Source organism: Homo sapiens, chromosome 12 (genome assembly GCF_000001405.40).
Source record: "Homo sapiens chromosome 12, GRCh38.p14 Primary Assembly".
In the NCBI taxonomy this organism is placed as follows: Eukaryota; Metazoa; Chordata; class Mammalia; order Primates; family Hominidae; genus Homo; species Homo sapiens.
The window spans coordinates 11,565,868-11,593,643 of record NC_000012.12 but is presented as its reverse complement, the minus strand read 5'-3'; the positions used below and the strand labels follow the sequence as shown (position 1 = coordinate 11,593,643).

The following is a 27,776-nucleotide window of genomic DNA, read 5'->3' as shown; positions in this document are numbered from 1 at the left end:
CGCCCTGCCTGAGGATGATATATTCTAAATCCAGCCTTTTTTTCTTAAGATTTCTCCCCATCTATATGCCATAGACTGATATTTTCTTTTTACCTTTGTTGTCTTTGTTGAAATTCTTACCTTGCTCTTCACTCACACATCTCAAGACTACAACCAACAGGATATCGTCTACCACCTGTTTTTTACCTCCTGCCTGCTCCTGTGGCCTCAGTGATGGAATCTTAAAACAACAAGATACAAGTCTTCATCTTGTGCTCCCTCAACTTCCTGCCTTCTCCTCCCTACTCCTCAACTCAACCATCTGCTCTAAGCCGTTCCAGCAAACTCACTAGGTGGGCCCATCATTCACCCTCATATTTTGCATCTATGTTCTCACCTACTCTTGGAATGCCATTTTCATTCCAATTGGCTAAATTCTTTCTCCTTCTTTGCTCATTAAATCCTGACTCCCTCACTTACCACAATAGAAGGAAGTGGAAAAATGATCCTTGACTTCTCAAGCTAATCCCACTCAAGCCAATTCCTGCTCACCTTTGTTTCAGTCAATGCCAATTGACCCTTCCAGCTGTTCAGGCTGAAAAGCTTGGAATCTATCTATATACCTCCCTCTCTCTTACACCTCACATCCAATTTGTCAGCAAATCCTGTTGGTTTTACCTGCAAACAACATACCAAATCCAACCACTTCCCATGAACACCACTCCCATCCTGGTCCAGGTCCCCACCTCTACCCTGGATTATTTCTATGGCTTTTCACTGGGCTTTCTGCTCTGTGCTTGCTCCTTGCAGTCTGTTCTCAACACAGTGGCCTGAGTTATCCTGGAGAGCATTCAGATCATGCTACTCTTCTGCTCAACGTCTTTCGACAGCTCCCCATCTCACCCAGAGTAAGAGAGACAGCCAGGTGGGAAGGGCTCCCTGCAGAACCTCCGACCTGTCTGCGCACTGGGAGGAATGCGCACTGGGGTGGAGCCTGGGGAGGTTCCCGCCATTTGCAGGTGGGAGGAGCCTGGCCCCACCTGGTCCGGGGTGGTACCTGGGATTCAATCTGTGAGGCAGAAAAAGCCGCTAACAAGACTCTCGCTCAGCTGAGAGTTCCTGTTTCCGCCCCCTTCCTTTTTTTTTTCTTTTTTGCCCAATATATTCCATTTTTCTCGCCATTCAAATTGTATGCGAACCGAATCTCTCATGGCCTTGTGACAAGAACCTGGCTTTCAGCTGAACCAAGAAGAAGGTCCTACAACATGACGTTCAGTGTCTTTCGTGGCTCTCCCCACCCCATCTGGCCCAGTTACCTCTGATCTTCTTTTTTATTAACCTTTTCCTGCCACCACCACCCCGCCCTTTATTCCTCCGTGGCCTCCTTGACCCCCTTGCTCTCTCCCGTGCACACTAGATGTGCTCTCAGCTCAGGGCCATCTGCTCTTTGTTCCTCTTGGTGGGCATGGGATTCCCCCAGATCTCCATGTGGATGGCTCCCTCACCTTCAGGCTTAGATGCCACCTTCCCACCGTCTTCTATGCCCACCACCCAGGACTGTCTCTATTTCCCTTCCCGAGGCTACTTTTCTCCAAGACACATTCTGTCATATCATGGACATTAACCCCAGATATAAAGCACGGGGTTCCCATCTTCTGTCCAGCCTCGATCCAGTTCTTAACCAGTCAAAATTCTTGTGGGAGTGGGTTGGGCAGGGGAGTAGTGATTGGAGGTGGGGAGGACTTTAGAAGTGACTCCCTCCTGATAATCTGAGATTTTTAAAAATCAGTTTAGTGTCTATTAGTTGTGTATATATAGTTTGTTTCACTTTTTTTTGTGACATCAGCAACTGAAAAATATCATTCTACGTGAACTTCACAGTGATATAATCCCAAATTTGACCTAAGTGACTTTTTGCAGCCCTCTTTGTTGTGTTTTTGTTTTTCTGAGATGGAATTTCGCTCTTGTTGCCCAGGCTGGAGTGCAATGGTGCAATCTCAGCTCACTGCAACCTCTGCCTCCCGGGTTCAAGTGATTCTCGTGCCTCAGCCTCCTGAGTAGCTGGGATTACAGGCATGCACCACCACGTCCAGCTAATTTTTGTATTATTAGTAGAGACTGGGTTTCTCCATGTTGGTCAGGCTGGTCTTGAACTCCCGACCTCAGGTGATCTGCCCGCCTCGGCGTCCCAAAGTGCTGGGATTACAGGCATGAACCACTGTGCCCAGCCAGCCCTCTTTGTTTTTACTAGTTCATTGTTTATCTGTATGCTGTCCCTGAGGACAGGTATTATAATCTTTTTGTTTTATCTGCTGTATCTCCAACACTGAAAACACTCCTGGCACATAGTATGCTATGCTGCCAATAAACATTTGAATTAGTATTGAATTAGTGGATGGCTCATCCTGTCTCTATATATATTGTACATAATTCTCCTGCTCTCAAATCTAATAATGGAAACCCTTTGCTTAAGCATAATGTTAACACATCACTTTGTTAACAAGTCCATAACCAAAAATTCATAATACCTTACATTTACATAACACTTTGCAGACTCTAAGTTACCTTCTTATACATTGTCTTATTTAATCCTCACAACTTTATATTCCAATTTTTCACAGGAAGCTGAATCTGAGAGAAATGGAGTTTTTCATTCACAGCCACAGGAAACTGAACCAGAGAAATTGAGTGATATGCTCAAAGTCTACACAAGGGAGCCAAGATTCAAACTCAGGTTGTTCTGAGCAGAAATCTGATGCAATTTTCACTACCATATCCCAACTCTCTGGTTCCATATCAGATCAGTTGCCTATATATTATTTGACTCTGTATCAGTAACATCTGTCTAGTGCCCTTGGCCAACCAGGTTGAGGACTCGGAATCCAGTTGATCAGGTTTGTTTCAGATCCTAGTAACTGTGTGAACCTAGCAATATTAGGCTGGCTGAATGGCTCTACTTGGTGCAAAAACCAGGATAAAGTTGTCTAAAAACAACTGTTTTCAATGCAACTTATCTGCAAAAATTTTGATATAGTTTCAGGCTATAAATGCCTGGAACCAAAGACTCTCTAAAACTCAGTTTATATAGAATTGTATGTGGATAGGAGCTTAAATAAGTTCTGGTCAAACCATTTATATAAGTCATCCCATAGCCTTAAAATAACCATGGTTCTCTCAAAGAATAGTTTTTCTTATTGATTCTCAATTCTAAGAATGCAAGTCTTATCTTTTAAGGACTGTCCAAATTCTTACATAAATGGCTATTGAGTATCTACTACAAGAAAGGCAGAAAGCTATTTCTTCCCTTCCTGTTTATTCATAAGCAAATATTTCGCCTTCTTGGGTTTCTTTGTAAGCTTTCATTGCTCTTAGTCATCCATCCTCATTCTTCTCTCCCATCTTCCATAGCTCATTCCTGCACACAGAAAAGTCCTTATTATTAAGGGTTCACTCTGTGTTTCCTTCTCTTGTGGCTTCCTTACTTTAACTGGACTGCTTAGAGTTCAAAATCCATTTCTTTTTACTATCACAGATTGTAAATCTTCAAAAGCTGGTGACTAAGGGAAGGGAGAGGAACGCTATTCGTGATTTGGATAAGAGAAAGGGAGCAGATGTTATCAGATGCCCCATTTTTATGTCATACAAATAACATGACTCAAACTAGTTCAGGTGCAGTCTTCATAGATCAGAGAGAAGATGAACTGCTGACTTGACAAAATGGCAAAAGAGTCACAAATAAAAGTTGACTTTAGTTTGGCACCTACAATTATACCTAAGCCATAACTTGCATTTTTTTTTTTTTTTTTTTTTTTTTTTTGAGATGGAGTCTGGCCCTGTCGCTCAGGCTGGAGTGCTGTGGTGCGATCTCGGCTCACTGCAAGCTCTGCTTCCCGGGTTCATGCCATTCTCCTGCCTCAGCCTCCCAAGTAGCTGGGACTACAGGCGCCTGCCACCATGCCCGGCTGATTTTTTTGTATTTTTAGTAGAGACGGGGTTTCACCACGTTAGCCAGGATGGTCTCGATCTCCTGACCTTGTGATCCGCCCACCTAGGCCTCCCAAAGTGCTGGGATTACAGGCATGAGCCACCGCATCTGGCCCATAGCTTGCATTCTGATTATCTCTTAGAAGAAAGAAAGAAAAAAGAAAAAAAGAAGACAGGAAAGAAGGAAGGAAGAAGGAAAGAAGAAAGGGAGTGAGGCTGGAAGATGTTTTTTCTTAATGGGACAGAATCAGGCATTCGATTTTCTCCCAGAAATTATTTTGAACTGGGACTCCTCTTACAGAGGAAATGAATGAGAATGGTAGGATAGAAAATGATGCAGTTACCTAGATTTTCGTAATAAATGTCTCACAGTTTCCACTGGAAGCATTAATTCCAACACTGAATTAAAGTTTGAAGAAATAAGAGGAGAAACAAACCCTCTTTCCAAATATACATGTCTAATCAATTTGGTGAAAACTTATTAATGTTTGGTACTAATGGTTAACATAGAAGTTTCTGTCCTCAAGAAATTTTATAGCCTAAAAGGAAAATAAGACATATTAAAATAACTGTAGTATAAAGCAAAGTAAAGGTATCAAGTGCTCTAGAAGCAAAGAAAATGTAGTTTGCTGATGTTTGGGAGGTTTTATGTTTCATAAAGAAGGCAGCATATGGCCAGGCATGGTGGCTCATGCCTTTAACCCCAGCACTTTGGGAGGCTGAGGAGGGTTAATCACTTGAGGCCAGGAGTTCCAGACCAGCCTGGGCAACATGGCAAAACCCTGTCTCTACTAAAAATACAAAAATTAGCTGGGTGTGGTGGTGCACGCCTGTGACCCCAGCTACTCGGGAGGCTGAGGTGAGAGGATTCCCTGGACCTGGGAGGAGAAGGTTGCAGTGAGCTGAGATCGTGCCACTGCACTCCAGCCTGGGCGACAGAATGAGACTCTGTCTCAAAAACAACAAACAAAGGTTTAAAAAAAAGAAGTGGCATTTTAAGAATGGGTAGGATTTGTATTCTGGTAGATGGAGAGAAAATTGCAAGCATAGAGACAGGAAAATTCAGGAAATATTTAGTGATAAGTGAGTGGTCATGTTTGCCTGAAGGATATACTGAGAGACAAAGTGGAAAAAAAAAGCAAGTGCCAAAATCATAGGATGTTTGAGGCCATTTGAGTTTAATTTTTGTTCTGTGGGTTCGAGGGAGCCACTGAAGACTACTGAAGAGAAGGCTGACACATTCAGTATTTTTTTTTTCTTTTTTTCTTTTTTTTTTTTAAAACAGAGTCTCACTCTGTCACCCAGGCTAGAGTGCAGTGGCGCGATTTCAACTCACTGCAACCTCCTCCTCCCGGGTTCAAGCGAATCCCCTGCCTTAGCCTCCCGGGTCCCATGTAGCTGGGATTACAGGCACCTGCCACCGTGCTTGACTAATTTTTGTATTTTTAGTAGAGACGGGATTTCACCGTGTTGGCCAGGTTGGTTTTAAACTCTTGACCTCAAGTGGTCCTTCCACCTTGGCCTCCCAAAATGCTGGGATTACAGGTGTGAGCCACTGTGCCCAGCCACATTTAGTCTTTTAGAAGCTTTTTTTTTGGAGACAGAGTCTTGCTCTGTTGCCCAGGCTGGAGTGCTGTGGAGCTATCTTGGCTTACTGCAGTCTCTGCCCCCTGGGTTCAAGCGATCCTCCCAGGTTCAAGCGATCCTCCCACATCAGCCTCCTGAGATGCTGGGTCTATAGGCGCACACCACCATACCTTTTTTAGAAGCTTTTTGACGGCAATTGGAGGATGTTTAGAGAATGCAAGATTAGAGTTTGGGAATGTGGTAAGGAAGCCATTACTGTAACCCAGGGCCTGGGCTAGATGGAGTGGATGGGACACATATGGAGGATGTCTATGAGGAAGAAGCCACAGAATTTGGCAACTGATTAAATCTTTTCCTATCTGGTCAGGGCAAGGGGAAGCATGGGTGAAAAAAGAAAAGTTTTAAGTTTGGACTTTGTAAATGATGAAAACCCAACATGGCTCATTATAAAGAAAAAAAAGGAAAATGTATTTGCAAAGTCAGATGATGAACCTAACTTTGGGAAAGACAGAGATACAGCCAGGTAGGGACAACGAATCAGGGCCTCAGGTGTCATTCTTCCTCCATATCCCCTTTCTGAATGTGGCTTTTTTCTTCTCTGCGGTAGAGACTCTCTCCAAGCTTGAGGGTCATGGCCATAGTTGGTTCAGGAGGTGTGTTCTTCTAGCTGAGGAACTCAAGAAGAATGGGATCTTCTCCTGGGCCAGTCTGAAGGTTTCCAGAGAGGAATTGATGGGCTGGGGCCAAATATCCACCAATTGCACTAGTCACTGGACCTGGCAATGAGGTACTGTTTTCGGCAGACCCCATAAAAATCATGATTTATGAGTAAAGGAAGGCATTATATTCACGGCCACACGGGAACTTCTTGTGAGTTGAGGAGCCACCTGAGCTATCCCAATGTAGGGGGGGAGGACAGTACAGAGGAGTTGAAATTATGACTGGAGTTCTAGGCCATTATGTTTGGAAAGATAGTGATATCTTTAACAGTGAGAGAAATAGATTCGAGTAAAATGCTAAAATTTATTTTAGACATCTTATTTTTAAGGTGGCATCAGACTATCCATGTGGGGTTGTGTAGGAGGCCCTAAGAAATTGGGGTCTTCAGCTCTTAGGAGAGGTTGGTTTTAGAACTGTAGATTTGGGAGTCATTAGCATATTACTTATGATGATGCTAAATGGATAAAACTGCCCAGAGAGAAAATATTCAAATAGAAAAGAGTAGAGGGCAGAATCAAGGAAATTTATATCATTTGCATGGTGGTTCTAAAAAGGACAAAGTAACATCTGTCTATTGCCTTTGGTCAACCAGGGTTAGGATTCACAATCCAATTAATCAGTTTTGCTTCTGTTCTTATTAACTGAGCTAACCTAGCAAAACTGGGGCTGGCTGAATGGCTCTACCTGGTTGAAAAACCAGGATTAGGTAGTCTAAAAATGGGTGTTCTCAATGCAACTCATCTGCATAAATTCTGATATAGATTCAGGCTATAAGTAGATTGAGAAGGAGCTATCAAATAACAATATCTAAGACAGAAATGGGTAAGAAAGTGTAAAAAGTCACTGAGTGTTCTGCAGTTCTTGTTTTCTTTATCAAGTCAACAAGTTATCTCTTGAGTATCTATTATAATTATAGATAGGGCACCGAGTGAAATAAAAAAGAAACAGAAGACACAGATCTTGCAAACTGTCAAGAATAGGCAAGACAATGGTGGGCTATGTGAGACTGTGCTGAGGCAGGGAAGAAAATGGCTTTGGCTGGCCAGAATGCTGATAATATTTGGCTCACTTGCCACCATTGGTGTATGCACCAGAAATTGCAATAAGCCAATACAAGGAAGCCAGGTGTGGTGGCATGCACCTACAGCCCGAGCTACTCGAGAAGCTTTGAACTGGAGACAAGCCTGGGCAACATAGTGAAACCCCATCTCCCTCTAAAAACAAGGAAAGAGAGAGAGAGAAAGAGAATGAATACAGGGAAGAACTGACTGTGGCAGCCTATGGGAGCATTTGCTTGTTAGTTTGTTTTAATAGGAAATTATGTATGGGACATAGTTCCAAATGAATAAATGGTTCTATACTCTCAGAGGATGATTACCCTCCTGGCTTGAAACAACACTAAGGTTAAAAATATCAGGTAACAATGGTCATTATTTTATTTTAATTAATTATTTTGGAGACAGGGACTCACACCGTCACCCAGGCTGGAGTGATTCTCATCCCTCAGCCTCGCAGCTGGGACTGCAGGTACCCACCACCACACCTGGCTAAGTGTTTGTATTTTAGCAGAGACGGGGTTTCACCGTGTTGCCCAGGGTGGTCTCCAACTTCTGAGCTCAGGCTGGGATTATAGGTATGCACCACCATGCCTGGCTAATTTTTTATTTATTTATTTTATTTAATTAATTAATTTATTTTTTGAGATGGAGTCTTGCTCTGTCGCCCAGGCTGGAGTGCAGCAGCGCAATCTCGGCTCACTGCAAGCTCCGCCTCCCAGGTTCACGCCATTCTCCTGCCTCAGCCTCCCGAGTAGCTGGGACTACAGGTGCCCGCCACCACGCCCAGCTAATTTTTTGTATTTTTAGTAGAGATGGGGTTTCACCATGTTAATCAGGATTGTCTCGATCTCCAGACCTCGTGATCCGCCCGCCTCGGCCTCCCAAAGTGCTGGGATTACAGGCGTGAGCCACCGCGCCCGGCCTCGCCTGGCTAATTTTTGTATTTTTTGGTAGAGACGAGGTTTCACCATGTTGGTCAGGCTGGTCTCAGACTACTGACCTCAACTGATCTGCCTACCTCGGCCTCCCAAAGTGCTAGGATTACAGGCGTGAGCCACGGCATCTGGCCTGTCATTATTTTAAAGAAAGTAATTTCCTTGTCAGTTTGGGCAATGTATATATTTTTGTTGCTTATCTTTCCTTTTCTTTTTTCAAGGTGGATTTCTTCAGTAAATGGCAATTGATTGGTAAGAGGTGTGTTCACGAGGTGGAAGGAGCACTGTGTAAGAAGGAAATTGGGATGTTAGTTCTGATCACCCTCTCTCCCCTCCCTGCCTCTGTCCCCATTGCCCACGTAAGCCTGTGCACTTCACTTTGCAACCTTAAATAAATTGCTTCATCTGCATGTTTCAGTTGCCTCAATTAATAAATAAGAATGATAATATTTCATTGGCTCAAGGATAGGAACTATACAGATAATTTCTTGAGCTTCCTTCTATCTTAAAAAATAGAATTCTGTGATTATAACCACTCCTTTATGCCGCATATGTGCAAGGGATACCAAGCTCAGAGGATTGGTTCCTGCCCTCAAAGAGGCTACAGTCGGGTCTGGGGAAACAGGAACTTACAATTCAACACAAAAGTGCTGTAGAGAAGGCACATGAGATATTCCCAGGGCATATAAAGTATGAATACCCATGTCAGTCCAGGGGAAATTAGGGAACTTCCTCAGGGGAAGTAACATTTCAGCTGAGCCTTGAAGGAGTTTCTATGCCAACAACGAGAATGCGGGTTTCGGGCTGGGAGAACAGCACATGTTTTAAAAAGGAGACATGTTTTGAGAAAGAACTAAAAGTAAGTCCATATTTCTGGGATTTAAAGAAGAAAGTATGGAGCAGTAAAAATTGCAGGCTGGACAGATGGTCAGGTATTACTCAATCCAAATGACAATTAGACACTCACTGGTTGAAGGGCAGTATGCCAGATGCTGGGTTGACTGAAACTGGGGATTATGATCCTGGAGAAAGGTTTGGGAAGGCTTCAAACTAGAGATAGAGCAGGGATAAATGTTATTGCTAGAATTTAGGAAAGACGTAAGAAAGGTCTATTAAACGCAGTGGCTGTGGGGAAGAGAGGTGAGGGGAAAATACAAAGGATATTTAGGAGGTAGAATCAACCCTTAGTTTATTGAATGAGGCATAAAGAGAAGGGAAGAATAAAGGGATCACTTTCAACTCTCTGGCTTGGGAAACTGGGTGCATGATGGAAGCATTCATTCACTGAGACAGGAGGCGCAGGAACAGACACAGGTTGTGGAGAAGCATGACGTTTGGCATTCATGTCTTTTATCTTGCTCTTGTTTTATGGATGCAATGTCATTCTTAATTTCTCTGAAGATGCTAATGTGCTTTTGCTGGTTGTCTGTTTCTTACTCTTGCCTTCTGTAGAACTGTAGTCTCCAAGTTGAGACAAATTTCTGAGTTAATTCTAGACAGATCGGCTCCCTTTTTGGCTGTAGTCTCATCCCTCAGGGGTACTAGGCTGCAGCTTCCTCATCAGCTCTGATCATCATCAGTCATCCCTCTTCATCCATCTCCTGACTTCTAGAACTTTGCTGTAACCTCTATTCCTCCATTAGCTTCCCTTCCATTCTCTTTGTTTGGTTGGGTTGGGTGGGGGGAGTGTTCATACCTTTTCCTTTCTTTACCTTTCCTTTTTTTTTTTTTTTTTTTTGTGAGGTCTATGTTGCTCAGGCTGAACTTGAACTCCTGGGCTCAGGCAATCCTCCTGCCTTGGCCTTCTGAGTAGCTAGGACTACAGGTGCACGCCACTGTGCCTGACATGCTTTTTATTCTTTTACTATGATTTCAATATGGTTTTTGGGAAAAAGATAAACAAATGTGCTTAATCTGCCATCTTAAATCAGAGCCTGTGGATTTGATCTTTGATATGATATATTTAAGGTAGCTATTAATATATGGTATGCCCAGGTAGAGTTTTCTTATGGGAAATTAGCTATATGTATGGATTTGAAATTCAAGAAACAATGGCAATCACAAGTAAAGATCTGCAGTTCCTGGTTTAGAAATTATGGGTGGGGATGCACTTGCCTGGGGAGAGCATGCAGAATGAAAATAGAATAGGAATTAAGCTTGATGCAGGGAACATCAACATGTAAGATGCTTGTTTTTAGATACACTATTCCTCCAGAATTAGGGAGACACATGATAACTCAGAACATTCCCCTTATTGATAAGAAGAACTCAGAGGCTCTTCAAGTTCAGGAAAGTTGCATTTAATACACAATAAAGGTGTAAAAGCAGCAGCAAGATGGCTATGTGTAACAAAGCTGAACAGGGTGAGGATAGGAGTTCCTAAGATGAAAGAGATAATCTAGGGTGTCACCAATTCCAGATGATGCTAATTATTTTGGCTCTGGGCCCATTCTTATAAGTCTGCTGAATTGTGACTCCCATGATCTGCCATTCTATTCTTTTCTTCTGCTGAGAACGTGGCTCTGATTCAAGTACCACTGTTCAGTGACATATGTCTTGATAGTCTCCACACATTCAGTAAATATTGATTGAGGTTTTAAAATATACCAGACACAAGGTGAGATGCTAGGGATATATGAAAGTACATAAAACAACATACCCGCCCTCAAAAAACTCAACTACATGCTCCAACTGAGTGTCATCAACTGCCATTATTCTTACTAGCAAAAATTTTACCATTAGCATTTTTTTTTTTTTTGAGACAGGATCTGGCTGCTGCCCAGGCTGGAGTGCAGTGATGGAATCATAGCTCACCACAACCTTGAACTCCTATGCTCACGTGAGCCTCTCACTGCAGCCTCCCGAGTAGCTAGCTAAGACTACAGGCGCTCATCACCATGCCTGGCTAATTTTAAACATTTTCTTTTAGAGAGGGGGTTTTGCTGTGTTGCCCAGGCTGGTCATGAATCCTGGCCTCCAGCTATTCTCCTGCCTCGACCTCCCAAAGTGCTGGGATTGCAGGCATGAGCCATCGTGCTCAGCTAACATTAGCTTTCAGGGAAAGTTTGGCTACCCTTCGTTCTAATAGGTAGATTTGGAAGCTCTTATTCGGGTGTCCAATGTAGCCATTTTCTGTATCTGGTGAAGCAAAGGGTGAGGATTTTCTTCCTCTATCTCGAAAGTGATAGAAAGTCATCACTCTGACCCAATATAGCACAGTGCATGGGCAGAGTGATTTCTTATCATCTATTAGTTTATTTAGTCTTTCTTCTAACTTTTATTACCTTAAATTATTATTAAGTAGGATTCTAAAAAAGCGCAAGCCACTGCACAATAGCATATTTCAGAGATGGTCAATAAAAGAAAACAAATTTTTTTTAAATAATAATAAAACTTAAGCACAGTCTGCAAACAAGTCATTGGTTAAAAAAAATACAACTAATCAAAGAACGATAGTCTACTCATAAATGCCTTCCTTATAAACACCAACATTCAAAGACAAATAATTTCTTTTAAAACTGGAATTCTAGCTGTGGTGTTTCTAATCTTGAGTTTTTTTTTTTTAACCCTGAGATTTAATAAAAGTCTCCAAAAGCGATGAGAAAAATTTAATTCAGTAGAGAATAAGGATGTAGGTTGTCAAAAGGGTGAGTAGAGAAAATTAATCTAGTAGGATGCTTTATTAATATTACTAAAACTAATTAAAATGACAATAGTAATGATGGGATAAGAAGAGAATATGGCCATTTCAAATGATGACATTTTTCTAGTTTAGGTGAGTTGTCAAAATTCCTTCCTTCCTTCCTTCCTGCCTGCCAGCCTGCCTGCATTCAGTCAACACATATACCCAGCATGTGTCAGGCACTGTGGTAGGTGCTGGGATACAAATTCCTTCTTATGAGATATTCACTGATAGCTAAATAAAATCCCACCAAGGAAAGTTACAGCGCAAAGTCTCCAAGATGAACTTTCGTGTTGCCTTGCAGCCTTGTTTTACTTCAGTTGTCTAGTGCTGCCACCTGCTGGGCATTTTCTTTTTCTTTTCTTTTATAAAATTTTATATCCATAGTTTTTAGGGGTCTATATGGTTTTTGATTACAGGGGTAAGTTCTTTAGTGGTGATTTCTTAGACTTTGGTGCAATGCTTGGTATTTTCCTTCTCAGTGAGTTTAACTACAGGTGTGGACAGAGAACCCAGAATTTATTTTATTTTATTTTATTTTATTTTATTTTATTTTATTTTAGAGACGGTATCACTCTGCTGCCCAGGCTGGAGTGCAATAGCACGATCATAGCTCACTGCAGCCTCAAACTCCTGGGCTCAAGTCATCTTCCCACCTCAGTCTTCCTAGCAGCTGGGACTACAGGTGTGCACTACCTCGCCTGGCTAATTTTTTAATTTTTTTGTAGAGATGGGGTCTTGCCATGTTGCCCAGCCTGGTCTTGAACTCCTGACCTCAAGTGTCCCACATGCCTTGGCCTCAGAGTGCTGAGATTGCAGGTGTGAGCCACTGCACCTGGCCTAGAACCCAGAATTTCTTAGGAAAGGAAGGACGGTGAAGAGGGCATTTCCATGTCTGCATGCTGGACTATCCATTTTTCTTGATGAGTACACATTCTCTCTTCCTCTCCACCTAATTCCATGGTGGTACCAGCCCTAACTTCTCCAGAATTACAGGCTCCTCTCTTGCTGGGTGCTGACTCATCTGCCCAATATGCCTAGGGCAATTGCCTTACTTCTCTCTCTCCCACAGAGTTTTGCTACTGAGCTTGTTTGGAGAAAGTTTTGGCCTTCTTTGGCCTTCTTTGGCTTTCTTCCCATTCTTGTGGGAGTTGGAGATTCTTGCCAAGACACTGGAGGTGTGTGCCCAAGTTGCTTAACATGGGCAGGCAGAGGCCAAAAGCCCTCGCAGCAAGCACTTCCACACAATTTTGAATCTGTTCTCACTTCTGCATGTGGGGGCAGTGTTGTGGGTGTTGGGGGTTTACTACTTCCTCATGGGTGGTCTAGGATCAGGTCCTCTGGGCTTCTTCAAAATGCTGCACAAAGTTGCAGCATTGGGGATTAAGTATGAAGTAGGTCATTTGCTTTGCAGCATTACTTCCTGAAGTGAGTCAAATGCATTCTGAGATGGTTTAATCCCTAAAAAGGAGCTCAATGACACCAAGTTCACCACTTACTCAGTGTCACGCCTCATTCTGCTCTGCTTCAAGCTTTGGTTTCCCAAGAATTGCTAATGTTTTATCCAGAAAAGATTAATCAAGTGTACAATACTTGCTCGGACACAAAATCATAGACATCACCATGTCCCATTGCTTGTCATCACATGAAAAATTATTCTGGATTTAAGTTGATAAGAATAACTCTTGGAATATTGAATACACATTTTAAAAATGAAATGCTTAATTTTATGCTTTTTACCCTCACTCAAATCATGTAATGGAAAATGTACTAAAGTAGGCACACATATTTCTTTATATCTAGTAGGCCCCCGCCCCCAAAACTCTCCTCTTCAGAAACCCCAGCTTATCCTTCCTGACTTTGAAACTTCAAGGGCATATCCTGAGCTCAGGGATTGTGCACTGAACTGGGAGAAGAAGGGTGGAATGGCACAGTATTAAACAAATTAATTGCTGAATTTCTTCTGTGACCTTCTGTTTCTTGACTCATTTTCTTTCTTCCTTTAGCTTGACAAATCATGCCATCAACTCCTTCAGCTCTCTCTCCATTCTCAGGCTCTAATTCGTGTTCTCCTTTCCTCTCTTTCCTAGCTACAATTAGTAGCAGTTATGAACCGTCTTTCACACAGCCTGGAACCCTCCATATCTCTGCACTGTTCTTGGATGTAGCCCAGGGTGGTTAGCCTTATTTCTTTCCTTTATCCCATTTTTTAAGGATGAAGTGATTTCCCTGAAAAAGGTTACTATGGAAATTGGTATAGACCCCAGATACTCCCCACATGTGCTCCATCCAGTAGATTAATGCCTCTCACAATGAAGTTATGATGTCTCATGTGGTCTTGAGGATAAAAGAAGATCTTGAGAAAGGGGAATGGGGAAGCCTAGAGGTAGGGGATAATAAGAAATTAGGGGAAAGGCTGGGCGCGGTGGCTCATACCTGTAATGCCAGCACTTTTGGAGCCCGAGGTGAGCAGATCACTTGAGGTCAGGAGTTTGAGACCAGCTTGGCCAACATGGTGAAACTCAGTTTCTACTAAAAATACAAAAAGTAGCCGGGCGTGGTAGCACACGCCTGTAGTCCCAGCTACTCTGGAGGCTGAGGTGGGAGAATCGCTTGAACCTAGGAGGTGGAGGTTGCAGTGAGCTGAGATCAGCCACTGCATACTCCAGCCTGGGCTACAGAGTGAGACTCTTTCTCGAAAAAAAAAGAAAGAAAGAAAAAGAAATTAGGGTAAAGACAAGAAGATAAGAAGTTCTGGGCATGTGAATGTGCATGGTATGGGGAATAGAAAGAGATGTGGGGTGTGGTTTCGGGGTGGGGACAGAAGAGAATGAAGGAATAGAGAAATTTCCAGGTTAACGGGCATTAGTTGAGAAAAGGGGATCAACTCCCACAACCACAACTGAAAGTGGTCCTTGAAAATTAAGACTCAAAACCTAGCAAGATCAGATCTTAATTCTTGAGTTTATTCCACAATGTGGCTTATTTTAAGAAGCTCCCTTTTTCTTCTCATTTTACTCAATTTCATCACTTTAATCAGAGGTGCAGAGTTAAGAGATGAAAAGAGAGAAGTGAAAGTCTGATTATTCAAAATGAGATTCATTTTTATTTATTTTTTAGAGACAGGTTCTCGCTCTGTCACCCAGTCTGGAGTGCAGTGGTTCAATCATGGCTCACTGCAACCTCAACCTCCTGGGCTCAAGTCATCCTAGTCAGCCTCCTGAGTAGCTGGGACTACAGATGTGCACTCCCATGCTTATCTAATTTTTAATTTTTTGTAGTGACAAGGGTCTTGCTATGTTGCCCAGGCTGGTCCCAAACTCCTGGTCTCAAGCAATCCTCTTACCTCAGCCTCCCAAAGTGTTGGAATTACAGGTGTGAGCCACTGCATCTAACCAATATTAATTTTTAAATAAAAATTTTAGAGAGTTTCTTTTGAAACTTACTGCTAAGCTTACGAGATTTTTTTTCCCTTCTCACATCCACTTTTTTTTTCTTTTCACATTTTTATTTTATTGTTTAAAAAATATTGCATGACTAGATCATACCCTTTTTTTCAAGCCAAACAGTCTTGGAGCATACAAACAAAAAATTACTCATTGCTCCACCTCCTTCCAATACCACATACCAAAGAACTGATGTTAACAGTCCCAGCCCTCATCATCACTGTTCTACTGCCCAGGTGGATTCAGGGGTCCTCTGTGAGGGTTACAGTTGCTTGGGTTGTCTGGAAAGGCAGGTAATAGTTCTTTTTGCTACGGAATGCCACACATGCATGCATCTGAGCTTATTATGCCTCTCTGCAAAGGGTTGCCCTTGGGGGAGGAAGTGATAACACTGGGTCCCACTAGCGGTGGAACCCTTAGCACATCCTTCATTAATCCCCACCTTCCTGCCTGCTGGTCAAGCTTTGATCTTCTTCTGAGCAGGACATGGTTCTTAGGACATCACATATTTCTTTCCGTGGTTTTAGTATAAATATTATGTACTTGGCCCTCTGGGGGACTGGCTTTGGATATTTAAAGTCTGACTTTGGGGATTTAAATAACATGTTTCTCTAAGTCTCTGGCTCTAATAATGGAAAGCAATGACTTTTAAGACCTTTTTCTCTGCTATGGACTTTACAGAATTATTCTCAAGAGCTTCAGGTTAAAGATTTAATTGTTCTCTCTGTATCATCTTTGTATCTGTATTTCTAAAACCCTAACACTCCTTGAATGGTGGGGAAAGAAAAGATAAGTAAGAGGAATTAAGAAAAATCACATAGTTGAATATCAAAATATTAACCCACTATAGGAACAAAAATATTCATTGAACAATGAATTATGTGAGGTGATAAAGAAACTTTTATTAACAAGAATTTCATTGGTAGGAGGGACTTGACTAGATGAAAATCTTTTAATCACCTTGAAGTAAAAACTGAAATACTAGGGGCGTGTTACAACAAATTTGGTCTGCAAACAACTGCACCAAAGACAAAGGGAGGAATCTGTCCGGCAAAGGAGGATGGAGGTTAATGAGTAGAGGAGACTGAGGGAGAGAGAAAGCAAGAAAGATGGTGAGATGATGTGCACTGTGAAATGGAAATGTAGTCTATGACAAAGAAAAGTAAATTTCACTGTGAAAGAAAGGTAGGATTTGGAGTTTAGTAGGCAATCTAAGAAGGTAGGAACTGATATAGTTTGGATATTTGTCCCCACCCAAATCTCATATCAAATTGTAATCCCCAATGTTGGAGGTGGGACTGGTGGGAAGTGATAGGATTGTGGAGGTGGATTTCTCACGAATGGTGTAGCACCATCCCTCTTAGTACTGTCCTCACAATAGTGAGTGAGTGAGTTCTCATGAGATCAGATCATTTAAGTGTAAAACCTCCCATCTTACTCTCTCTTGCTCCTGCTCCTGCCATGTGAGACTCCTACTCCCTTTTGCCTTCCACTATGATTGGAAGCTTCCTGAGGCCTCCCCAGAACCAGAAGCTGCTATGCTTCCTGTACAGTCTGCAAACCCATGAGCCAATTAAACCTCTTTTCTTTATAAGTTGCCCTGTCTCAGGTATTTCTTTACAGTAATGTGGGAACAGACTAACACAGGGACATATAGGAGAAAATAGAACTAAGCAACATGGCATTAGTTTGGACATAATTACCTATCAGGCTATTACATTAGCTTGAATGATCCTCACAACAACACTAAGATTTAAGTACTATCATTATTATCCCCATTTTAAAATGTGGAAACAAAGACAAAGGGAAGTGAAGTAACTTAACCCAGTATCAGGGGAAACTCCTCCCTCATAGAGAATGGTGAAGAGTAACAAGAAGGCCAAGGAGATGACTAAGCCAGTAACCAGGTTGGCTTGCTGCCACTTTGGAGGTGTGAAAATAGACAAAGAGACTCAAGCAAGACAGCACAGCACACAGTGGGAACATCAGCATGGTAATTCTGGTTCTCCTGTCCCAAAGTCCCATGGGGTGGTAATGGGCAGCTACTCACACAGTGGGTTGTGCCACATGCGGGGAACCTAGGGTTAAAGGCTCAGCACCTCTTATAGCAAGCAGCAAAGGGGCTAGTCCCCTGCCCAAGGAATAAGCTGTAAGGTAATCATGATGTGGGTACCATGGCCAACTTAACTGTTACATGACTAGCTACAGAAACCTCTTTTAAGGCATCCTTAGAGATTGTCTGCCTTTTCTCATAAGGCAACTTCCATACAGACAGTAAACTGGAATACACTCTAAGGACCACCTTTCACTCTTTGCCTATATTTCATCTCATATTCTTCTACAACACATTGACAAAAAACATTAAAAATATAATAATTCCTAAACTGCATAGTTTGTGAGTCCCCTTTATATACATTATAACATTTAAGTTTTCTTTACAACAGTGGTTTTTATTTGGGGTTTGAGGGTAATTTTACCCCTCACTCCCTGGGGACATTTGGCAATGTCTGGAGACATTTTTGGTTGTCACACTAGAAGTTGGGGGAGTGGTACTGGCATCTAGTGGGCAGAGATCAGAGATGCTATGATGCACAGGGCAGCCCTACATAACAAAGAATTTTACAGCCCCAGATGTCAAGAGTGCTGATAATGAGATTGAGAAATCATGCTTCACAGTTTCCTCATATTATATAAGGAAAACTTAATGAAAACAGGCCCAGAATGGAGGGGAATCAACTAATGATGGAACAAAAGGTCTATCTAGCTATTGTAGTAGCAGTAGAGCATCACTAAGTATTTCAATACTTTGTCAATTATAAGAGAATGTAAGAATGAAGAGGATTTCATCTTTATGGCTGGAACAGTTGTTAGTTGATCTACTATTTGCATAGTTGAAGAGAACCAAGCACATAAAATCTTGTGAGTGGTATAGTTGATCAAAAGCAGACCTGCTCCCAGAAGTTATGACTCCAGACCATTGATGCTCACACCCAGGTAGAAAGGGTAGCATGTGAAGAAGACAGGGGCCTTATAGGTGGAGAGAAGCTTGCAGGTACATGATGTTTGCCACAGTTCACATTTGGCTGAGATAATGGGGATAAAAGTATGATTTTTCAAAGTGCTCTGTGGCCTTTTCCATCATTGCAAAGTAGTGGAGGCTTAGGGTTTTGTCCATAAGAGCAATTTAAAATTACTTCAAATTTCTGCAACTCTATAGTATTAACACATTTAAAGTAGATACAGAAATAAAAATGTGCATGACCCTTCATCAAGGATTCTTTTTATTATAATTTATAATTTCATCCAGATGGCCAATAATAGAATATAGGATTGCAATATAATTCATGAAAAGAGTGGTAAGGAAGAACTAATAGAGCAGCATAGTTTAATGTACAAAATTAATCAAATTCTCTAAATTGCTTGGTGCTGTGTTTTCAGTTTTAGTGTTGATATTTAGTATCTTTTTTTTTCTTGGCTAGAATGAGAACAAACTCTCTCACTGTTCTCACAAAGACATTCTGAAGTTTCTTGAAAACTATAGAATCTGACATTATGCTTGTGAAAGAGAGAGAAATCTCTAATTCAGGACCAAGTTACACAATGTGAAAAAGAGATTATGGCAAAAGAATTGGTGTCACCAGGTACCTCTGTGCATGTATAATTTTGATTAAAATAACAGATGGATCATATAGGCACAGAGATGGAAATTCTAAGAAAGAATTTAAAAAATGCCAGAGCTCAAAAACACTGTAACTGAAATGAAAAATGCCTTCAGTGGGCTCATCAGGAGACTGGACATGGCTGAAGAAAGAATCTTGGAACTTGAAGATATGTCAACAGAAACTTCCAAGACTGAAAAGCAAAAAGAAAAAAGCTTCAAAAAAACCCAGAATAGAATATCTAAGAACTGTGGGATAACTACAAAATGTGTAACATATCAGGATAAGAGAGAAAATAACAGAAGAAATATTTGAAGCAATAATGACTGAGAATTTTCCCAAACACTTGTCAGACACCAAACTGCAGACCCAGGAAGCTCAGAGAACATAAAGCTGGAAAAATGCCAAAAGAAAAAAAAAAAAGACACCTAGGCATATCATTTTCAAGCTTCAGAAAGATAAAGAAAAAATCCTGAAAGAAAACAGAGGAAAGAAACACCTTACCTATAGAGGAGCAAAGTTTAGAATTACAGCTGACTTCTCCATGGAAACCATGTAAATAAGAAGAGAGTGGAATCAAATACTAAACACGGTGAGAGGAAAAAATCCTACCGACTTAAAATTCTATGCCCTGTAAAATTATCCTTCAAAAATGAGGGAGAAATAAAGGCTTTCTCATACAAACAAAAAAATGAGGGAAACTGTTGCTGGTAGGCCTGCCTTCAAAGAAAGTTGTTGTTTTTTTTTTTTTTTTGAGACAGAGTTTCACTCTTATTGCCCAGGCTGGAGTGCAGTGGCGTGATCTCGGCTCACTGCAAACTCCGCCTCCAGGTTCAAGCAATCTCCTGCCTCAGCCTCCCGAGTAGCTGGGATTACAGGCATGCGCCACCACGCCCGGCTAATTTTGTATTTTTAGTAGAGATGAGGTTTCTCCATGTTGGTCAGGTTGGTCTTGAACTCCTGACCTCAGGTGATCCTCCCACCTTGGCCTCCCAAAGTGCTGGGATTACAGGCGTGAGCCACCGTGCCCAGCCAGAAAAATTAAAAGAAGTTCTTTAGTGACAAGGAGAATAATCAAGGTCAGAAACCTGGATCTACACAAAGAAAGGAAATGTACCAGAGAATGAGTAAATTAAAGCAAAATAAAATCTTTGATTTTTCTTAGCCTTACTTGATCTAGCAGATAATCATTTGTTCAAAATAATAGTAGTAATGATGTTTTTGATTATATGTGCTTATGTATATAACTTTGGTAAAAACAAATAATAGGCCAGGCACAGTGGCTCATGCCTGTAATCCCAGCACTTTGGGAAGCCAAAGCAGGAGGGTCACCTGAGCCCAGGAGTTTGAGACCAGCTTGCGAAACACAGCAAAACCTCATCTCTAAAAAAAAAAAAAAAAAAAAAAAAAAAATTAGCCTGGCATGGCTGTGTGTCCCTGTAGTCCCAGCTACTCTGGAGGCTGAGGCAGGAGAATAGCTTGAGCTCAGGAGATCAAGGCTGCAGTAAGCTGTGATTGCACTCCAGCCTGGGTGACAGAATGGGACCCTATCTCAATTAAATAAATAAAAAAAAAGGATGCCTTTCTGTTTTTTAAAAAATGAGTTATAGCCAGATGCCAAAAGTGTCTTTTTTCAATTTCTTGAAATATATACCCTAATAAAGAGGAAACATAAAAACTTGCATCAATATTAAAATTAAGAATGATACTCAAGATATTGCCAGAATCTGAAATAAATGTTCACTCTTTACAATTACTGTGGAGTTTGCAGTAGATTATTCTTGGGACAGGTGCTGGTCTTCAGATTCTTTCTTTTCTGGGCCCTTACCCCTTTCATACAGGCAATCTGGTCGCCATAGTACGATATTATATTATGTGACTCTGTTTCCCTGGCCATGATTTATATTGATCCAGGGTGACCATTTGTCTCTTATCATTATTCATGGCCTTTTTAGCCACACATATATTTTTACTTTAATAGTATACAATTGTATAATAGACAAATATTTCCATATTTTTCTTAGTTGCCATATTAGAAAACCCTTCTCCAGAAAGGATATATGGTTTTATATACATATTCATCTATAGTTCTTCCAGTATTTATTTATAAATGTGTTATTTATTATTTAATCCTTAACCCATCTCTATAATGTTGGTTTATTGGTTTGAGACAGCATTTGCTGAATCAGATGAAGAAAATAAGCCGTTATTTTTTGTTGAAAGTGCTTATCAGGAAACACTAAAAACAAAACAAAACAAAAAAACCCATTATAAAACTCAAACCTTCACTGAACCCTTAGTTGGGTAAATAAAAAAGTAATTACACCTATAAAAGCAACTTTGGGGAAATTTGAATATGAAGTAGTTATCCCACTTTTGTGGGATTATTGTCAATGTTTCTTAGGTGTGGTAATAGTACTGTGGTTTTGATGGAGAAGTCCTTGTTCTTAGCATGTACTTAGCATGCTAAAGTACTTGGAGGTAAAATGTCACTATGTTTGAAACTTAATTCCAAATGATTCAGCAAACAGAAAATGCAGATATCCAACTCACAGCAGATATCCAAAGTATATGAAGCAAAAACAGACAAATTGAGAAAAGATACAGAAAATTCAATAATGATAGTCAGAGACTTTAATGTGCCAATTTCAACAATGGGTAGCACGACCAGACAGAAGATTAACAAGGGAATAGAAGAATTGAATAATACTATTTGTGTAGTGTTGTATAGTTTGTGAAAACTGGACCTAACAGACAGCTGTAGAACACCTTACTCAACAACACAATACCCATCCTTCTCAAGCACATCTGTATCATTCTCTAGCACAAAACATGTACGAGGCCATAAAACAAGCCAAAATACATTTAAAAGGCTTAACATCCTTTGAAGTATAGTCTCTGGCCACAATTAAAAAATTAGAAATCAGTAACAGAAGGAAATTTGGAAAATTCACAGATATGTGGAAATTAAACAACATACTCCTAAATCATGAGTGAGTCAAATAAATCTCAAGGAAAACTAGCAAATAATTTGATATGAATGAACACAAAAATGCAACATATTAAAATTTATGGAATTTAGCAAAGCAATGCTTAGAGGGAAATTTATAGCTGTAAAGTACCTATATTAAAAAAGAAGAATCTCAAAAGAATAACATAACCTCCTACTTTAAGATACTACAAAGAGAAGAGAAAACTAAACTCAAATCCAGCAGCAAGAAAGAGACAATAAATGTTACAGGATAAATAAATGAAATAGAAAATAGAAAAACAGCAAATCGCAAGGCTAAAAATTGGTTATTTGAATAAAATGAGCAAAATTGACAAACTTTAGCTAGACTGATCAAGAAAAAAAGAAAAAAATCCTCAAATTATTAACACCAGGAATGAAAGAGGAGACATTGCTACTGACCTGTAGAAATAAAACGAATTATAAGGGAATACCATGAATAATTTTATGCCAACACATTAGATAACCTAGATAAAATAGACGCATTCCTAGAAAAACACAATCTCCCAAAAGTCACTTGAGAAAACATAGATTATCTAAATGGACCTAAGATAAGTAAAGAGATTGAATTAATAATAATAAAAAATATTCCACAAAGAAAGGCCCAGGCCTAGATGGCTTTACTGGAGAAACCTACCAAATGTTAAAAGAATGACAAAATTTATTTACAAACTCTTCCAAAAAGTAGAAGAGAAAGAAGTGCTTCTTAATTATTCTGTGAAGCCAGCATTACCTTCATATCAAAACCAGACAAAAACTTAAGAAAAAAACACTACAGACCAATATTCCTTATGTATACAGATGTAAATATTTTCAACAAAATGACAACAAACTGAATCTAGCAACATATAAAAAGGATTATACTTTATGACCAAGTGATATTTGTCTGAGCTATGCAAGGTTGGTTCAACATATGAACATCAATAGATACAATATACCACACTGATACAATAAGGACCAAAAAACATATGATCCTCTTAACAGATGTCAAAAAAGCATTTGACCAAATTCAGCACCCTCTCATGATTAAAAATACTCCATAGACTAAGAAAAGATGGTGACATCTATAATTTAGTAAAGGGCATCTACAAAAAACTCACAGCTAGCAACATATGTAATGGTGAAACATTGAAATAGTTCTCCTTAGGATCAGGAAAAAGGCAAGGATGTCTGCTCTTGCCACTTTTATTCTATATTGTACTGGAGGTTCTAGTTAGGGAAATTAAGCAAGAAAAAGGAAAAAAGGCAACCAGATTGGAAAGAAAGAAGTGAAAATATCTCTATTCACAGTGACATCATCTTATATATAGAAAATCCTAAGGTATCCTCTCCCCCTGCCACATACGCAAACTATTAAACTAGTAAATGAATTCAGCAAGGATGTAGATATAAGATCAATATATAAAAAAGTTTATTCTATACCCTACCAATATCTAAAAATAAAAATAAGAAAATAATTTCACTGGTAATAACACCAAGTAGAAAACCTATTTAGGAAGAAATTTAACAAAGGTAGTATACATTTTGTACATTGAAAAACTAAAAAACATTATTGAAAGAAATTAAAGATCCAAATAAATGAAGACATCTTGTGCTCATGGACTGGAAGGCTTAGTATTGTTAAGATGGCAACATTCCACAGATACACAGTTTCAAAATAGTCTCTATAAAAATTCCAGCAGCCTTTTTTGCAGAAATTGGCAAGCTGATCTTAAAATTCATATGGAAATTCAAGAGACCCAGAATAGCTAAAACAATCTTAAAGAGGGGGAATAAATTTGGAGGACTCATACACACTAATTTCAAAACTTACTACAGGGCAACAGTAATCAAGATAGTATGTTACTAGTATAAGGATAGGCATATAGACCAGAAGTGAGAATCTAGAAATAGACTCTCACATATTTGATCAATTGACTTTTCACAAGAGTGTCCAAATAATTCAATAGGGAAAGAATAGCATTTTCAATAAATGGTGCTGGGACAACTGGATATTCACCTGCAAAAGTGCAAAGTTGGACTCTTCACAATGTATACAAAAATTAACTCAAAAAACACATTGGCTTATGCAAAGAATTCATGACTAGTACATCAAAAGTGCAGGCAACAAAACCAAAAATAGACAAATGGGACTTAATTGAACTAAAAAGCTTCTGCATAGCAAAAGAAATAATCAACCAGGGGCAGTGGCTCACGCCTATAATCCCAGCACTTTGGGAGGCCGAGGCAGGCAGATCACTTGAGGTCAGGAGTTCAAGACCAGCCTGGACAACATGGCAGAACCCCATCTCTACTAAAAATGCAACAATTAGCTCGGCTTGGTGGTGGGAGCCTGTAATTCCAGCTACTTCGGAGGCTGAGGCATGAGAATCACTTGAGCCTGGGAGGTGGAGGTTGCAGTGAGCCGAGATCGTGCCACTGCACTCCGCCCTGGGTGACAGAGAGACTCTGTCTCAGGGAAAAAAAAAAAAAAAAAAAAAAACCAACAGAATGAACAGACAATCTGCAGAATGTGAAAAAATATTTGCAAACCACATATGTGACAAGGGACTAATATCCAGAATCTACTAGGAACTGAAACAACTCAATAACAACAACAACGAAACCTCCCACAAATAACCTCATTACAAAGTGGACCAAGGGGGCAAGCATAACCATGGCAACCCTGACCCAGTTGTGAGAAGCTCCAGGCCCCTTGCTGGTGTGTGAAATATCAAATTTCAAGCACAACAAGTCACAAATCCAGGATCTGACTGAGATATAATACCACAATTACAGAAGGAAAAAAGCTGGCAACAATGTCTCCAGATGCTGCTGAGCTTGTAGCACTTAACAGGACTGTTCACCAGGCCACCCAGAGGCCCAACAGCAAACCCTATCCCTGTCCTGAGGGAGAGGTCCTGCAGCGGACCCTGGGCCAGCACTGGGAGGAATATGTCTCCTCAGACCCCACTTCCCAGCAGCAGAACGCCACCTCTGCTGACTCTGAACCAGGTCCTGAATTTAAAAGACAATTTGAACTTGGATTCGTATTACATTTGAGAGACAGGGAAATATCACAGTTGCATATACTCATGATTCCTTTCCTTCTCCAAGCCCAATGTTATGAAAACAGAATGTGAAATTTTAAAAAAAGTGGGCAAAGGGCATGAACAGACATTTTTCAAAAGAAGACATACAAATAGCCAACAAGCATATGAAAAGAAAATGCTCATCACTAATCATCAGAGAAATGCAAATTGAAACCACAATGAGATATCTTACACCAGTCAGAATGGCTATGATTAAAAAGTAAAAAAATAACAGATGTTGGCAAGGATGCAGAGTTTATAAAGGGAACCCTTATGCACTGTTGGTGGGAATGTAAATTAGTTCAACCTCTATGGAAAATAGTATGGATATTTCTCAAAGAATTAAAATTAGAACTACCATTTGTTCCGGCAATCACACTACTGGGTATCTATCCAAAGGAAAAGAAATCATTTTATCAAAAAGACACCTTTCATTTGTATGTTTATCACAGCACTATTCACAACAGCAGACATAGAACCCACCTAAGTGTCCATCAATGGATGGTTGGATGAAGAAATGCTACCCCGTAGTATACTAAATGTGGTATACTATTCAGTGGTATACTAAATAGTAGAATACTATTCAGCCTTAAAAAACAATGAACTCGGCCAGGCACGGTGGTTCACACCTGTAATCCCAGGATTTTGGGAGGCTGAGGCGAGCGGATCACAAGGTCAGGAAATCGAGACCATCCTGGCTAACACGGGGAAACCCCGTCTCTACTAAAAAAAAATACAAAAAAATTAGCCAGGTGTGGTGGCGGTAGCCTGTAGTCCCAGCTACTTGGGAGGCTGAGGCAGGAGAATGGCGTGAACCCGGAAGGTGGAGCTTGCAGTGAGCCGAAATTGCGCCACTGCACTCTAGCCTGGGCAACAGAGTGAGACACCGTCTCAAAAAAAAAATAAAATAAAAAAAATAAAAAGAACTCATGTCTTTTGCAGCAACATGGATGGAACAGGAGGTCTATCTTAGGTGAAGTAACTCAGAAACAGAAAGTCAAGTACTGCATGTTTTCACTTATAAGTAGGAGCTAAAAAATGTGTATATATGGACATAGAGTGTGGAATAATAGATATTGGAGACTCAGAAGGGTGAGGAGGAAGGGAGGTTAAGAGATAAGAAATGGGCTGGGCATGGTGGCTTATGCCTGTAACCCCAGCACTTTGGGAGGCCGAGGCGGGTGGATCACGAGGTCAGGAGATCGAGACCATCCTGGCTAACATGGTGAAACCTCGTCTCTACTAAAAATACAAAAAATTAGCCAGGCGTGGTGGCGGGCACCTGTAGTCCCAGCTGCTGGGGAGGCTGAGGCAGGAGAATGGCGTGAACCCGGGAGGCGGAGCTTGCAGTGAGCAGAGATCGAGCCACTTCACTCCAGCCTGGGTGACAGAAAGAGACTCTGTCTCAAAAAAAAAAAAAAAAAAAAAGATGAGAAATGACTTCATGGATATAATGTACATCATTTGGGCAATGGTTACAGTAAAAGCCCAGACTTCGCCACCATGCAGTATGTCCATATAACACAACTGCACTTGTACCTCCTAGGTTTAGATTTTAAAAGTCAACTCACAATGGAATGTAAACATAAATATAAAAATCAAAACTAGGCCAGGTGTGGTGGCTCACACCTGTAATCCCAGCACTTTGGGAGGCCAAGGTGGGCGGATCACGAGGTCAGGAGTTCGAGACCAGCCTGGCCAATATCGTGAAACTCCGTCTCTAGTAAAAATACAAAAATTAGCTGGGCATGGTGGCACGTGCCTGTAGTCCCAGCTACTCGGGAGGCTGAGCAGAAAAATCGCTTGAACCCGGGAGGTGGAGGTTGCAGTGAGCTGAGATTGCGCCACTGCACTCCAGCAGCCTGGATGACAGAGCAAGACTCCGTCAAAAAAAAAAAAAAATCAAAACTATAAACCTCTTAGGAGAAAGTGCTGTAGTAAATATGCATGAACAGCGGTTAGACAAAGCCTTCCAAGCTATAACACCATAGAAAAAAGTGGCCCCCAAAAGTAATAATAATAAATTAGACTTCCTTAAAAAGAAAACTTTTTCTGCTTCAGAAGACACTATCAAGAAAGTGAAAAGACAACCTACAGTAAGAGAGAAAGTATTTGCAAATCATATAACCAATAAGGGACTTTTATCCAGGATATAAAATAACCTCAAAACTTAACAGTATAAGACCACCCAAGTAAAAATGGGCCAACTATTTGAATAGACATTTCTTCAGAGAAGATAACTAAATGATCAATAAGTACATAAAAAAGCTCAACATCATTAGTCATTAAGGAAATTAAAATAAAAAATAAAAAACATGTGATACTGCTTCACACCCACTATGATGGCTATATAATAAAAAAGATGGCCAATAAAAATTGTGGGGGAGAATGCAGAGAAATTGGAACCCTTATACATTGCTGGTTGAAATGGAAAATGCAGCAACTTTGGAAAACTCTTTGACTATTTCTCAAAATATTACAAATAGAGTTACATAGGACCTAGCAATTTCAATGTTGGATGTATATCCAACTGAACTGAAAACACGTGTTCACACAAAAACTTGTACACGAATGTTCATTGCAGCATTATTCATAATAGCCCCAAGGTGGAAACAACCTAAATTTCCATCCACTAGTGAATGAAT

General features: G+C 40.5%; 4 annotated features.

Annotated features, from left to right (window-relative positions):
- Positions 906–1,643: an enhancer, noted in NCBI's record as "H3K27ac-H3K4me1 hESC enhancer chr12:11744935-11745672 (GRCh37/hg19 assembly coordinates)". NCBI's record gives its function as "activates a minimal SCP1, AML or CMV promoter by ChIP-STARR-seq in primed H9 embryonic stem cells {active_cell/tissue: H9 hESC(primed)}" and the evidence as "EXISTENCE:reporter gene assay evidence [ECO:0000049][PMID:30033119]".
- Positions 14,576–14,775: an enhancer, noted in NCBI's record as "active region_5967". NCBI's record gives its function as "activates an Ori minimal core promoter by ATAC-STARR-seq in GM12878 lymphoblastoid cells {active_cell/tissue: GM12878}" and the evidence as "EXISTENCE:reporter gene assay evidence [ECO:0000049][PMID:35858748]".
- Positions 24,705–24,804: an enhancer, noted in NCBI's record as "active region_5966". NCBI's record gives its function as "activates an Ori minimal core promoter by ATAC-STARR-seq in GM12878 lymphoblastoid cells {active_cell/tissue: GM12878}" and the evidence as "EXISTENCE:reporter gene assay evidence [ECO:0000049][PMID:35858748]".
- Positions 24,825–24,874: an enhancer, noted in NCBI's record as "active region_5965". NCBI's record gives its function as "activates an Ori minimal core promoter by ATAC-STARR-seq in GM12878 lymphoblastoid cells {active_cell/tissue: GM12878}" and the evidence as "EXISTENCE:reporter gene assay evidence [ECO:0000049][PMID:35858748]".